Source organism: Homo sapiens, chromosome 4 (assembly GCF_000001405.40).
Source record: "Homo sapiens chromosome 4, GRCh38.p14 Primary Assembly".
Taxonomy (NCBI): Eukaryota; Metazoa; Chordata; class Mammalia; order Primates; family Hominidae; genus Homo; species Homo sapiens.
The window spans coordinates 2,996,986-3,012,763 of NC_000004.12; the positions used below are offsets into that span (position 1 = coordinate 2,996,986).

A 15,778-nucleotide genomic window follows, 5' to 3' on the forward strand; every position below is an offset into this window, starting at 1 on the left:
AAGACAGGAGGCTCTCTTGATGCCAGGAGTTGAAAAAAGAGAACTCCTTGAGGTCACTTACTCAAATTTTAACAACCCATAATATTCAAAGTACCTGAAAGTAAAGCAAGACCGTGTGTTCATTCTTGCATTTCTTTATCCAGTCACTCAGACATTGTTAGTTTTTCTTAGTTTTCCTCTCAGGGTTCTCAAATATTAAAATTCAGCCAAATTTGAATTTATGGTTTAAAAGAATCATAACCAAAACCAAGTGGGCTTTTCCCTAGGGATACAAAATTGGTTCAGTATCTGAAAATCAATTACTATAATACACCATATTAATAGAATAAAATATTTAAAAACCACATGATTATCTTAATAAAAATAGAAAAAGTATTTGATAAAATCCACACCCCTTCGTGATAAAAGCACTGAGCAAACTAGGAATGAAATTAGTCCCTTCATGAAAGTGGAACCTCTTAAATGCCTTTTAATGGTCACAATAACAATTAAACGTCAACATGAGCTTTGAGGGGAAGGGACCAACGTTCAAATGATAGCACTTGATAATAGAGAGAGAGAGACGTTTATGGGCTGCTCAGCCTGATAAATGATATCTATGAAATACCCACAGCCAACATCATACTTAAATGTGAAAGACTAGGCCGGGTGTGGTGGTGTTCACCTGTAATTCCAGCACTTTGGGAGGCCGAGGTGGGCAGATCATGAGGTCAGGAGTTTGAGGCCAGCCTGGCCAGCATGGTGAAACCCCATCTCTACTAAAAATACAAATATTAGCCGGCCATGGTGGTGCACGCCTATAGTCCCAGCTACTGAGGAGGCTGAGGCAAGAGAATCACTTGAACCTGGGAGGCAGAGGTTACAGTGAGCTGAGATTGCACCACTGCACTCCAGCCTGGATGACAGAGTGAGACTCCATCTCCAAAAAAAAAAAAAAAAAGTAAAAGACTATATGCTTTCCTTTAAGATTAGGAACAAGACAAGATTGTGCACCCTCACCACTTCTGTTCAACTAGGGTCAACTGTAAGTTCCATTGTACTGGAGGTTCTAGACAGGGCAATTAGGCAAGAAAAAGAAATAAAAGGTATTCACCAGGCGCAGTGGCTCATACCTGTGATCCAGCACTTTGGGAGGCCAAAGCGCGTGGATCACCTGAGGTCAGGAGTTTGAGACCAGCCTGGGCAACATGGTGAAACCCCCGTCTGTACTAAAAATACAAAAATTAGCTGGGCATGGTGGTAGGCACCTGTAATCCCAGCTACTTGGAAGCTGAGGCAGGAGAATTGCTTGAACCCGGGAGGAGGAGGTTGCAGTGAGCCAAGGTTGTGCCATTGCACTCCAGCCTGGGCAACACAGCAAGACTCTGTTTAAAAAAAAAAAGAAAAGAAAAGGTATTTAGATTGTAAAGGAAGAAGTAAAACTCTATTTGCAAATGACATAATCTTGGATATAGAAAATTCTAAGAAATTCACACATACACACATAAAGAAAAAGACTGTTGGAGCTAATAAGTGAGTCTGGTAAGGCTGCAAGATACTAAGTCACTATACAAAATTTAATTGTATTCCTATATATTAGCAATTAAAATCCAAAAAAAAAGAAATTAAGAAAGCAATTCCCTTTGTATAGTATCAAAAAAGAATAAAATACTTAAGAATGAACGTAACAACATAAGTGTAACACTTATACTCTGAAAACTAGAAAGCACTGAAAAAAATTAAAGAAGATCTCAAGAAATGGAAAGACATCTCCTGTTCGTGGATCAGAAGACTTAATATTGTTAAGATGGCAGTACTCCCCAAATTGATCTATAGATTCAATATAATCCCTATCACAAGTCTAACTACCATTTTTTTTTTTGCAGAAATTAACAAGCAAGCTAATCTTAGAACTCATATGGATAGTCAAGGGACGTGGACTATAACATTCTTTAAAAAGAATGTAGTTGGAGGACTCGCACTCCTCAATTTCAAAACTTAGTACAAAGCTACAGTAATCAAGACAGTATGGTCCTGGCATGATGGTAGACATACAGCAGTCAATGGTATGGAATCGAGAGTGCAGAAACAAATTCATGCATTTTGTCTTAGTCCATTTAGTGCTGCTCTAACAGAATACCTGAGATTGGGTAATTTATAAAGAACAGAGATTTATTTCTTACAGTTCTGAAAGCCGGAAGTCCAAGGTCAAGGAGTCCAATCTAGTGAGAGCCCTCTTGCTGCATCATCCATGCAGAAGAATACGAGGGTATGCACACGCCTGGGTGGGGAGTGGTGGAAGGGGCTGAGCTTAGCTTTTTATCAGGAACCTGCCGCAATGCCGCAACAATAACAAAACCAGTCCTGAGATTGCAGCATGAATCCATTCCTGAGGGGCAGAGTCCTCATGATCTTATCACCTTTTTAAAGGTCCCACCTCTCAACACTGTTGCATTGGGAATTAAGCTACCAACACATGAACTTTGGGGCACACATCCAAACGATAACACATTAACAGTCAATTAATTGCCTTATCACAAGGATGCCAAGACAATTCAACTGGGAGAAAGAATAGTCTTTTCAATAGATGGTACTGGAACAACTGGATAGCCACATGCAGAGAATCACACGGAAGCCCTACCTCATTCCATAAACAAAACATTAATGCCAAATCCATCAAAGGCCTAAATATAAGAGCTAAAACTATACAACTCTTAGAGGAAAGTGTAGGTGTAACTCTTCAATACCTTGAAATTAGGCAGTGACTTCTTAGATATGACACCTAAAGCACAAGCAACAAAGAAAAAATAGATAAACTGAACTTCATCAAAATTTAAAACTTTATGCTTCAAAGAACACTATCAAGAAGTGAAAACATAACCAACAGAATGGGGAAAAGGATTTGTAAATCAAATACTGGTAAGGGTCTAGTATCCAGAATATATAAATAACTCTTACAATGCAACAATAAAAAGATGACCCAATTTTTTAAAATAGGAAAGTAAATGTAATTTTCAACACAGAAAAAGAAGCATATTTCTGCAAAATCCACCCTCCCTTCCCTCTCCACCAGTGGTCTTTCCTATTAGAATTTCCTCTGCCTAAAATTTTAAAAAGCAAGGCACTAAGTCATTTGGTAAATTTGCCCTGGTAACTACTTATTCTGAAAAACAATGATTGATCCTTAATGTAAAGCCCCAGAAGTCTCAGTTCTGCATCAGGCTGGTAGTTCTGTACCTTACCTTGCCATACTTCAGGTCACCTTAGCTTACCTCCCTCTCTCTCATGGATATTAGAAACACTGCTTTTCCTTTGTGTGAGAATAAATAACTATTAATATAAAAATTTTCTATGATATAGAAAATGGGAACACTATTTGGTGTTAATCATTAAACGGTCTTGATAGAATCAACCTGCTATTTAGTTTCAGAAAAATTGAGACTTTGGAGGGGAAATGACTGTTAAAATATTGTCTTTGTCTTCTGAGAATATTTTGTCTTGTTTTCTGCTGTGTCCAGTGCCTGGAACAATGCATATTTGTGGAGCAAATGAGTGAATGAACAAACTTCTTTTCTTTCTTTTTTCTTTTCTTTTCTTTTCTTTTCTTTTCTTTTTTTTTTTGAAACAGTCTTGCTCTGTCACCAGGCTGGAGTGCAGTGGCACAATCTCGGCTCACTGCAACCTTTGCCTCCTGGGTTCAAATGATACTTCTACCTCAGTCTCCCGAGTAGCTGGGACTACAGGCACGTGCCATTATGCCCAGCTAATTTTTTTTTTGTATTTTTAGTAGAGATGGGGTTTCACCATGTTGGCCAGGATGGTCTCGATCTCTTGACCTCGTGATCTGCCCACCTCAGCCTCCCAAAGTGCTGGGATTACAGGCGTGAGCCACGGCGCCTGGCCCAAACTTCTTTTCTTAAATAGGAAAATGAATGGACCGATCTTATTCTTATGACAGCCTTGCTGCATAGAAAGAAAGGACTGGAGAGTCCAGCAGGGTGTGTGTGTTTCAGTCTTGGCTCTCCCCTTGGTGATGCAGGTGCACTGGAGAGGGACTTCCCAAGTCTCTCCTCATCCATCAGGGTGGTGGTTGTAGGGCTAAATGAGACTATATATATATATATATGTGTGTGTGTGTGTGTATATATATGTATATATGTGTATGTGTATATATATAGGTATATATGTGTATGTGTATATATATGTATATATGTGTATGTGTATATATATGTATATATGTGTATGTGTATATATATGTATATATGTGTATGTGTATATATATACATATATGTATATATATGTGTGTATGTATGTATGTATACACATACATATATATGTATATATGTGTGTGTGAGTACATATACACACACACACACACACACACACACACATATATATATATATATTTTTTTTTTTTTTGAGATGGAGTTTCGCTCTTGTAGCCCAGGCTGGAGTGGAGTGGCGTGATCTTGGCTCACTGCAACCTCTGCCTCCTGGGTTCAAGTGATTCCCCTGCCTCAGCCTCCTGAGTAGCTGAGATTACAGGTGCCTGCCACCATGCCCAGCTAAATTTTTGTATTTTTAGTAGAGACAGGTTTCACCATGTTTGTCAGGCTGGTCTCGAACTCCTGACCTCAGGTGATCCACCCTCCTTCGCCTCCCAAAGTAGTGGGATTACAGGCGTGAGCCACCACGCCCGCCCGAGACCATAGTTATTGAAATGCCTCAAATGTATTAGATAATTTAAATGGCAGCTACTAATCATGATTAATTGTGATAATATTGTTGATTTTTTAAAATGTGAGTTTTCTTATTGTTTACTATCTTTCAACTTATGTTAGGAAATAACTGATTTATAAACACAGATTTCCTCTGGTCGCTTGGCCCTATCACAGTCAGAAATCAGTCTGGAATGCATTTCTTGTTTCTAATTACAAATTAGGTGGACAATTGAGCATGACTTGGGTATTTTTTCATTGAATCTGGACAGTGGTTTTGTCATGTGTTTCCTTTTTCCAGAATTCTCTGGATGAGGGTTAAGGAGAGCAGGGCCTGGGCACCTGGAACACTGTGAGTGGGAATACAGAGTGGCAGAGCCTCTTTGGAGGGCAGTTTCACAATAAATATGAAGTTTAAAATGCTTGCATCTTTTTGAGCTGGTAACTCTGTGTTTAGGAATCTATCCTATAGAAATACACATGTATAGAGACGTTCACGGTGGTGCTGTTTGCGTGGGAAAACTGGCAACTAGGATGTAACTGGGGGCAGATAAACTCATACACCGGGAGACCGTGCAGTCACTCAAGAAAGTGGGGTAGCTCTATAGACGTCAGCACATACTTTAAACACTGGACCCAGGCTGGGCACAGTGGCACATGCCTGTAATCCTAGCACTTTTGTAGGCCAAGGTGGGCAGATCAGTTGAGCTCAGGAGTTCAAGACCAGCCTGGGCAACGTGGTGAAACACTGTCTCTACAAACAATACAAAGATCAGCTAGGTGCAGCTGGGCACAGTGGCTAACACCTGGAATCCCAGCATTTTGGAAGGCTGAAGACTTCCAAAGGATCTCTTGAGGTCAGGAGTTCGAAATTAGCCAGGCGTGGTGGCGGGCACCTGTAATCCCAGCTGCTTGGGCGGCTGAGGCAGGAGAATCGCTTGAACCTGGGCGGCGGGACTTGCAGTGACCCAAGATCATGCACTGCACTCCAGCCTGGACCACAGAACAAGACTCCATCTCAAAAAAACTAGCCAGGTGTGGTGGCATGCGCCCATAGTCCCTGCTACTTGGGAGGTGGAGGTAGGAGGATTGCATGAGCCCAGGAGGTGGAGGCTGCAATGAGCCGAGATTTTCTGTCTCCAAAAAAACCACAAAACTGAACATATATTTTTCCCATTTGCATGAGGAAAAAGAAACTATCTGAAGAGGTGTGTGTGTTTGATTTTTAATTTTAATTGTGATAAAAAAACACGTAACATGAAGGTTACCAACGTCAGCATTTGTAAGTGTGCACTTCAGTAGTGTTAAATATATTCACCCTGTTCTGCAGCCCATCTCCAGAACCGACCTTTTCATCTCACAGAACTGAAATTCTGCGTCCATTCAACAATTCCCAGTTCTCTCCAAGCGCCTGGCAACCACCATTCTACTTTATGTCTCTATGAATTTGACTACTCTAGGGACCATATATAAGTGGAATCATACAGGATTTGTCACTTTGTGACTGGCTTCTTTATTTATTTTTGAGATGGAGTTTCGCTCTGTCGTCCAGGCTGGAGGGCAGTGGCACAATCTCAGCTCACTGCAACCTCCGCCTCTCAGCTTCAAGCAATTCTCGTGCCTCAGCCTCCTGAGTAGCTAGGATTACAGGTGCCTGCCACCACGCCTGGCTAATTTTTGTATTTTTTAGTAAAGACAGGGTTTCACCATGTTGGCCAGGCTGGTCTTGAACTCCTGACCTCAACTGATCCACATAACTCTGCCTCCCAAAGTGCTGGGATTACAGGGGTGAGTCACCATGCCGGCCGTGACTGGCTTATTTCATTTAACATAATGTCCAAAAGGTTTATCCAAGTTGTAGCGTATTTCAGAATTTCCTTTTTTTAAAAGGCTGAATAATATTCCACTGTGTATATATACTGCATTTTATTTATCCATTCATCCACAGACACCTGGGTTGTTTTTTGCTATGGTGAATTATGCTGCAATGAACATGGGTGTGCAGATACCTGTTTGAGACCCTGCTTTCCATTCTGTGTGTGTGTTTTTTTGTTTGGTTTGGTTTGGTTTGGAGACGGAGTTTCACTCTTGTTGCCCAGGCTGGAGTGCAGTGGCGTGATCTCAGCTCACTGCAACCTCCGCCTCCCAGGTTCAAGTGATTCTCCTGCCTCAGCCTCCCAAGTAGCTACCTACCACGCCTGGCTAATAGTTTTGTATTTTTAGTAGAGACGGAGTTTCACCATGTTGGCTGGTCTCAAACTCCTGACTTCAGGTGATCCACCCACCTCGGCCTCCCAAAGTGCTGGGATTACAGGCGTGTGCCGTTGCATCTGGCCCTGTGTGTGTTTTGATATGCATCGGAGAAGATCTGAAAAGGCAGACAACAGCAGAACTCTGGAGAGTGGGACGGGGTGGAGGGTCCAGGTGGCACTTTGACTTTCATTTTATACACTTTGTGTTTCATTTTTTTACAATAAGCATTAGGTTCTGTTCACTAGTAAGTTATGAAATCACTAATGGTTATGTATTTGGTTTGTACTGTATTAAGTTGGCAGCCCCTTTACCAGAAATACCTCCAGATGTTGTGACAGAATGTAGATTGGGACTGAAGGAGGAGAACCCTTCCAAAAAAGCCTTTGAGGAATGTACTAGGTAAGTGGTTCATGCTGAGCCCTGCATATATTATCTATGACTAACCCCAAAACAGACAGCTTTCAGGAGGTTTCTCTGCATAAGACAAGTTCCTAGAGTGTAGTTGACCCTTGAACAACATGGGCATTAGGGACGCTGACACCACCCAACCTTCTGCGCAGTTGAAAATCTGTGTGTAACTTTTGACTCCCCCAAAAGCTTAACTACCATTAGCCTACTGTTGACCAGAAGCCTTACTGATAACATAAACAGCAGATGAACACATATTTTGTATATGTATTATATGCTATACTCTTACAATAAAGTATGCTAGAAAAAATAAAGTGTTACTAAGAAAATCATAAGGAAGAGAAAATATAATTCCTATTCATAAAGTGGAAATGGATCATCATAAAGGTCTTCATCCTCGTCATCTGCACGTTGAGGAGGCTGAGGAGAAGGAGGAAGAGGAGGAGCTGGTCTTGCTGTCTCAGGGGTGGCAGAGGCGGAAGAAAATACATACATAAGTGGCTCCTGGCGTCTCAACCCGCATTGTTCAAGGGTCAACTGTACTTTACACATTAAAATGATTACTTCCTCTAGAAAGAGGTGAATGAAGAGTAATAATTCCATGTACACACGAGGCACACTGAAGGGGGTCCCATCGTTTAGCACCAGTATCCTAGCATCCCTGTGGTGACTCCAGGCCCTCTCTGCTCTGCTTGTGTCTAGGACAAAAAGATTTTTTTCAGACCTAGGTACTCACCAAAAACATCTTTTTTCAGGGCATTTCCAAGGAGAATTCCGAGGTAAAGCACTTTGGCTAAATTCAGTTTCTTTACATATGCGGGATGAAAGAACAGTTTCTGAGGTGATCAGGCCCAAAATCTGCAGTGCCTTGTGTATGCATGCAGACAGTCACTCATGTCACAGCGGAGGAAACGGAGGCCCAGGGAGCCATGAGAAAGTTTATTCTTTGCTCTGAGAGCAAGCAGATGACATATGCATTGTGTTTAAAAAGATCGCTCTGGGTGCAACTTAGAGGTTAAAGAGAGGGAAGATGGGGTCCAGGAGATGAGCCGGCGAGGCCGTTGCAGCTCACATGTGGCAGGGAGTGGCGCACCTGAGCCAGTGCAGTCCGAGCATAGTGGGGCTGGGGCTGGACCCTGATGCTTTAATGATGCGGCTGCCTCTAAAATAACACACAGGCCGGGCGCGGTGGCTCACGCCGGTAATCCCAGCACTTTGGGAGGCCGAGGCGGGCAGATCGCTTGAGGCCAGGAGTTCAAGACCAGCCTGGCCCACATAGAGAAACCCCATCTCTCCAAAAAAATGCAAAAATTAGCCAGGCCTGGGGGTGTGCGCCTGTAATCCCAGCTACTCAGGAGGCTGAGGCATGAGAATCACTTGAACCTGGGAGGTGGAGGCTGCAATGAGCCTCCCCTGTACTCCACTGTACTCCAGCCTGGGCAACACAGCGAGACTCTGTCTCATAAATAAATAAATAAATAAAAATAAAAAACAAGGCTTTCTCTCTCTATCTGGCTTTCTCTTGAGGTGTGGCTTCTCTGCACACTGAGGAGCTGGGTGGTTTAGATGCTTATTCCTTTAGTGAGAATTCAGCGGCCAGTTCCACACCCCACAGATAAATGGCATGCATCCCATCTTTCTCCTAACCAGGTGTATGGCACCGGACTAGAACCCTTCCCTCTGTCCCTCAGCCCCCTCCTCTGAAAATGGATTAGAGTAAATGGATTAGAGTAAATGTAGACTAAAGATTTTCAGGCCAGGCATGGTGGCTCACGCCTGTAATCCCAACACTTTGGGAGGCCGACGTGGGTGGATCACCTGAGGTCAGGAGTTCGAGACCAACCTGACCAACATGGAGAAACCCTGTCTCTACTAAACATACAAAATTAGCCAGGCATGGTGGCACATGCCTGTAATCCCAGCTACTCAGGAAGGCTGAGGCGGGAGAATCGCCTGAACCCAGGAGGTGGAGGTTGTGGTGAGCCAAGATCACGCCATTGCACTCCAGCCTGGTCAACAAGAGCAAAACTCCGCCTCAAAAAAAAAAAAAAAGAGATTTTCAATTTCAAGTCATCTTACTTATTCTTGTTGGATATTCACATTAATGGTATTCTAGTGTTTGTGATTTGAACTGCTTTCCAAAAAGATGTCTCTGGCTGGGTGCCATGGCTCATGCCTATAATCCTAGCACTTTGGGAGGCCAAGGCAGAAGGATTGCGTGACCTCAGGAGTTCGAGACCAGCCTGGACAACATGGTGAAACCCTGTCTGTAATACAAAAATTAGCCAGGCATAGTGGTACATGCCTGTAGTCCCAGCTATTCAGAAGGCTGAGGTGGGAGGATCAATTGAGCCTGGGAGGTCAAGGCTGCAGTGACTGTGACCTCACCACTACCCTCCAGCCTGGGTGACAGAGCCAGACCAAAAAAAAAGAAAAGAGATGTTGGCTCCATGGCTCCATTTGATTGCTTCTCTGGTATGGCAGACAGGACAGGCTTGGTCTTTGCTCTCTGATACTGGTCCTGGGATATTGTGATAAGAATCAGATTTCTTCCTGTCTTCATCTGGGATGCCACAGAGGCCAGGAAGGGCCAATCTTTCAGTCCACGCTTTTGTCCTTCACATCCCTCTCCTGGGCATGTACACACCCTAAACTCTTTCTTGTACATGTGCACTAAGTGACATGTAATAGTAATAACACAACAATTATAAGGCTAGGCTTGGTGGCTTACACCTGTAGTCCCAGTGCTTTGGGAGGCTGAGATGGGAGGATTGCTTGAGGCCAGGAGTTCAAGGCTGCATTGAGCCATGATTGTGCCATTGCACTCCAGCCTGGGCAATAGAGTGAGGCCCTGTCTCTAAACAACAACAACAAATAACAAAACAATAATAAATACTTGGAAGTATTAATGCACTTACCCGCTCACAGTAACTGTATGAAATAGGCATGATTATTATCTCTGTTTTACAGAAGGAGAAACTGAGGCTATAGAGGTTGGGTAAGTTGGCTCAGGTCCCTCAGCCAGTGAGTGGCTGAAGCCGGACTTGCAGTGGCCCATGGCTTTGACCTCTATGCTGTCCTCCAGAGGACCCTTCCACTGTGTCTTGCACATGGGAAGCATGCTGCTTGATAACAGAACAGCTGACACCCTCACTCCCAAGAAGGGAATGCATCCTTCTATTTCACTGCTTTTTTCATTCATTCTATTTCACTTCTGTTTTCACTTATAGCGTTAGAACCTAACGTGGACTTCTGTAATTGCAAATTCAAAATATTGAATTGTGTGTAATGATTGGCTTTCCCATATTCAGTGCCTATTAATGCACTAAAACACACTTGTTTTTATTTCTTAATACAACAAATGTATATAATTTTAAAAAATCTTTTTCTAGAGTTGCCCATAACTACCTAAGAGGGGAACCATTTGAAGAATACCAAGAAAGCTCATATTTTTCTCAGTTTTTACAATGGAAATGGCTGGAAAGGTATGTACTGATTTTAAACTTGATAAAAGCCAATTGAGGTGGCACATGCCTGTAGTCCCAGCTACTCAGGAGGCTGAGGCTGAAGGATTGCTTAAGCCCAAGACTTCAAGGCTATAGTACGGGATGATCAAGCCTGTGAATAGCCACTGCACTCCAACCTGGGCAATGTAGCAAGACCCCATCTCTAATACAACAGAAAAAAAGAAAAGAGACCTCAATAAAAGAAGTGTTAACTTCTCACAATGCATACTGATTGACGTAGACTTTTCCATCTGTCAAAATACAATTAGAAATTTTGAGTTGTATATGATATTTTTATACAGAAATTTTCATAGGTATTAGTGTTATACCATTTCTTCTAATTTAATAGACTCTGTTCTCTCTTTTTAAAATGGCAGGTATCCCTGTTGGTTCAGTGGCTAGAAAATAAAACTTAGCTTAGATTTTTAGTGCTAGAATAGGATGCAATGGGTGGGACCTGGCAGTTAAACCCTGCTCAGCCTCTTACTGTTTATGTGGCCTCAGGTAAGTGGCTTAGCTTGTATGAGTGGCAGGTCCTTGTTCTATAAATTACAGGTAATTATAGAATCTGCCTCCTTGGACCATTGCTAGGATCACCTGGGAAATGTGTGTACAACGCTTATAGCACAATGTTTGGTGCACAAAATAAGTGCTTAAAAAGTGTTAGCTGTGGGCCGGGCGCAGTGGCTCATGCCGGTAATCCAGCACTTTGGGAGGCCGAGGCGGGTGGATCACCTGAGGTCAGCAGTTCAAGACCAGCCTGGCCAAAATGGTGAAACCCGTCTCTACTAGAACTACAAAACTTAGCCAGGCACGGTGGCATGCACCTGTACTCCCAGCTACTTGGGAGGCTGAGGCAGGAGAAATCGCCTGAACCCAGGAGGTGGAGGTTGCAGTGAGCTGAGGTGGCTCCACTGCACTCCAGCCTGGGCAACACAGCAAGACTCTGTCTCAAAAAAAAAAAAAAAAGTGTTAGCTGCTACTAGTGTTATTATTAGTACTATTATTATTGATTGATTAAATTTCCAGTTCTTGCTTATACATGCTGTTTTTGAGGCGCTGGGTATAAACATCTTTGAGGTTCTTTTTTCAAAGGATGGCACAACGTATATACGTCATCTTCTTCACCTGCTTTCTGACAGGTTGAGAGGGATCTACCCAAGAGTATACCAGGAGTTATGAACATACATATTTCCTAGTGTTGGCTGGTTTCAGACCTATCTTTAGTTAGTGAGGATAATTAGACTGTTCTGCCTTTTGCTTCAGTGTCTTAAATATTAATTAAGATTAATTGGCCGGGTGGTGGCTCACGCCTATAATCCCAGCACTTTGGGAGGCTGAGGCGGGTGAATCATGAGGTCAGGAGTTCGAGACCAGCCTGGTAAACATGGTGAAAACCCGTCTCTACTAAAAATACAAAAAATTAGCTGGGTATAGTGGCAGGCGCCTGTAATCCCAGCTACTCGGGAGGCTGAGGCAGGAAAATTGCCTCAATCCAGGAGGCGGAGGTTGCAGTGAGCCTAGATCGTGCCACTGCACTCCAGCCCTGGCGACAGAGTGAGACTCCATCTCAAAAAAAAAAAAAAAAAAAAAGATGAATTAATTGCTCTTAGAGCAAGTCAAGAGCTATCCTGCTAGAGGGAGCCACAGTCCCTGAGCACAGACACCCTTTGTCCCGGGCATCCCCTTTGAGCAGAATGGTTCAATAAATGAGGCGAAGACAAGCGCTGAGTAAACTTTTCTTTTTTAAAAGAACAATGCAATGTGAGACCTGAAACTTGTTTTTCTCATTGATTAGGCAACCCGTAACAAAGAACACATTTAGACATTACAGAGTTCTAGGAAAAGGCGGATTTGGAGAGGTGAGTAACGGGAGCCAGTTCATAGCAGCGCTGCTAGCTGGGTGGGGAGCAAGGTCCTGAGAACATGGCTTCAGGTAATGCATCAGCTCTCCCAGTACACTGTTGCCTTAGTGGGTGTTTTGGGAATAATCTTTGCCAACTGTGAGAATCCACATGGAATTTTGAGCAAAAGGTTTTTAAGAATCCCTTCTCTTGGTGACTTCACCTTTTACCTCATAGTTCTGAAGAAGCTGGTTTCCATGCTTGATGCCCCAGCTCAGTCACTTTGCCCAGATGGAAAGACGATTCTGTTTCCGCATTGTGGAATTTCCATGATTCTATTTCCATACATTTAAGACTGGTCCCAAATTCACATAGTACAGAGTGAATTAGTAAATATACTTACGTAACCCTACTCTGTTTGGACACGTATGTACCTCATACCTACATCAAAAGGTGTTTGGAAATGTGTCAATTTGGGAAAATCCTAAGGAAATGACTCACAGACTCACGAGGGGTGTTTTTTTTGTTTTGTTTTGTTTTGTTTTGTTTTGAGATGGAGTTTCGCTCTTGTTGCCTAGACTGGAGTGCAATGGCGTGATCTCAGCTCACCACAACCTCCGCCTCCTGAGTTCAAGCGATTCTCCTGCCTCAGCCTCCCGAGTAGCTGGTATTACAGGCATGCGCCACCACACCTAGCTAATTTTCGTATTTTTAGTAGAGAGGGGGTTTCTCCATGTTGGTCAGGGTGGTCTTGAACTCCCGACCTCGGGTGATCCGCCCTCCTCAGCCTCCCAAAGTGCTGGGATTACAGGCGTGAGCCACCGTGCCTGGCCCGGGGTGTTGTTTAAATATGATGGGTCTCCTAGATGGAGACCACTGTAGTTGGTGGATGGAGAACAGCAGCAGTTCTGGTCTGGGGATTTAAAGAGATATTAATTACCTTACTAGTTACCTGGAGTGATCATATGGAGTTCAAGAACTTTTAAGTCCCTAAGAGCCAGGCAAGCCATTGGCAAACTAATACTGTATGTTTAACTCAGGAGCAGGTTACACTGCCCGGGTGTGACTCAGATATTACTGCTCCCATATTACAATTCAAAGGAAAAGCCACTAGCATTGCCTTGAAGTTAATTAGAAAGCTGACCTAGGAGGCAGCACACTGCACCTATATCTGTTATGCACCTGCAGCTTGACATGACAAGAAATTGGCCAACGTAGTTGTTACTTCAGGAGAAGTAACAGTACTGTCCCTCTGGTACAGTTCCAGAGACCATGAAGAATATTTTGCCTAATCCAATCGTATGCTTGCTCTAATCCCTCCATGATAGATATTTCTGTAAGAAATCCACCCTCTGTTTGAATATGTCCTAGAACAGGAAAGTCATTTTCTTACTTGGACTCTTGCTAATCTGCCTTTAATGATCTGCAAATGTAATGACTCAGATTTTGTGAAAGAACAGAGGAAAAATTTCTGGAACATGGGTCATGTGTTTACAAAGGAATGAAAGTCTAATTATAGCCACATGTAAGTTTTTAAAACATGTCAGTCTTAATAGGATATAATAGGGACATGTTAGCAAATTTTAGCTATTGTGAAAGACCTGGTGCTGGGCGCGGTGGCTCACGCCTGTAATCCTAGCACTTCGGGAGGCCAAGGTAGGCAGATCGCTTGAGCCCAGAAGTTCCAGATCAGCCTAGGCAACATGGCAAGACCCCATCTCTATTTAAATATTTAATATAAATAAATACATTAAAAAAGAAGATAAGAAAGACTCAGTATAATTATGATTGTATAGATTACTTTTTAACAGATTTACTTGGGTTCCCAAACAAATGATTGGCTGCACGAATAAAGCATGGCAGTTTCCCACAGACTTGCTCTGGAGGTGTTGTACTCTCAGTCAAGGCCCAGAGGCAGTGAGCAGTCAGCTCACCCCTACTCTGAATGCCTGTCAGAAGGAGCCCTGCTTGCCCTCATGCGGGGACAGCCTCGGTGCCCTTTAATCCAGATTCTAATCGTGCATTTGCTTTTTCCAAGTGCTAGCACTTCCTCCAGTGGGCTTGAGAGAGCAAACCTAGTTGGTTTTATTTTGTCAACAGTAATTCTTTCGCTTATGCTTGAAGTCCTCCGAAATGAATTTGTAGGGTCCTGAGTGAGCACAATGGTAAAGGAATTGAGTAGACATCTCTGCTGTCATGGTTTTAGGCCACAGACTGTAGTGGAAAGAGCACGTACTTCAGACGTGGGCAGACCCGAGGTCAGGGTCCTGTCGTATCACTTCCAGCAGCGTGATCTTGGGCCCGCCATCGTGATCTCATCTCTAGCAGGGAAATAATCGGCCCTGCCCGCCAGGCTGCTGTGAGCCAGCGAGTGTTCACACCCAGCTCTCAGCACAGTGCCTGGCACTCTTGTCTGCTTTCCATTCCCTTTCTCTGATTTGCCCATTCCACTTAGAATAATTTGTTTTAAATTAACGATAAAGAGATATGAAGAGATTTTTATGCCAAGTCTTAATGGTAAGAAAATGATTAAATACATATTGGGATAGTCACATTTTAGGAAAACATTTCACGATAGGAAAATAGTCACACAATAAGATTTTTTAAAAGGAGGTTAGGAAATATTACCTATTTTACAATACGAGACCAGTTTTGCCATGAAAGGCTGGAGTGGTGGGAACAGGGTATGTATTCTTGCATACCCATGTAAGAAGGTGGGCCCAAAATCAAATAGAGCAAAATATTAACAGTCATTATCTTGGAATTACGGGTGAGTTTTTATCACTGTCCTTATTACTTCCAATATTTTCCACAATTAACTTTGTATTTCTTTTACCACCAAAATTATTTTATTGATAGATAAAATTAAATCATGTCTTATGTTTGCTTTTAAAGCAGTCCCCTGTGGGGTGTGCAGTGGATGGGAGTTGGAAGAAACAGCAGCCTAATGTTGATGACACAGAGGCACGGGGACCAGAACCTGAGGCTCATGATACTATTTTTTCCACTTTTGTATGTTGGAAATTTTTCATGACATAAAGTTAAAATAATACATAAATACTACTTTAAG

General features: G+C 42.8%; 1 protein-coding gene across 29 annotated transcripts in view, besides 1 other annotated feature; it reads left to right on the forward strand.

The window, feature by feature from the left end:
- GRK4 (G protein-coupled receptor kinase 4) overlaps window positions 1–15,778 on the forward strand; it is a 77,190-nt gene that overhangs the window by 33,415 nt on the left and 27,997 nt on the right. For 18 of the 29 annotated variants that reach the window (XR_924941.3, XR_001741210.2, XM_011513447.3 and 15 more), the window contains 4 exons: window positions 7,246–7,349; window positions 10,751–10,843; window positions 12,663–12,726; window positions 15,604–15,720. Coding sequence is in view for 24 of the 29 variants with exons in the window: in XM_011513447.3 (XP_011511749.1) it covers window positions 7,246–7,349; window positions 10,751–10,843; window positions 12,663–12,726; window positions 15,604–15,720 (378 nt within the window). In the remaining 5 variants the exon portion in view is untranslated. Of the gene's footprint in view, window positions 1–7,245; window positions 7,350–10,328; window positions 10,357–10,750; window positions 10,844–12,662; window positions 12,727–15,603; window positions 15,721–15,778 lie in introns of those variants that run through there. The other 11 variants (NM_182982.3, NM_001004057.2, XM_017008054.2 and 8 more) reach the window with 3 other exon arrangements.
- Window positions 12,448–13,647: an enhancer, noted in NCBI's record as "BRD4-independent group 4 enhancer chr4:3011160-3012359 (GRCh37/hg19 assembly coordinates)". NCBI's record gives its function as "activates an origin of replication core promoter dependent on BRD2, P300/CBP, MED14 and CDK7 cofactors, and independent of BRD4, by STARR-seq in HCT116 cells {active_cell/tissue: HCT116}" and the evidence as "EXISTENCE:reporter gene assay evidence [ECO:0000049][PMID:35650434]".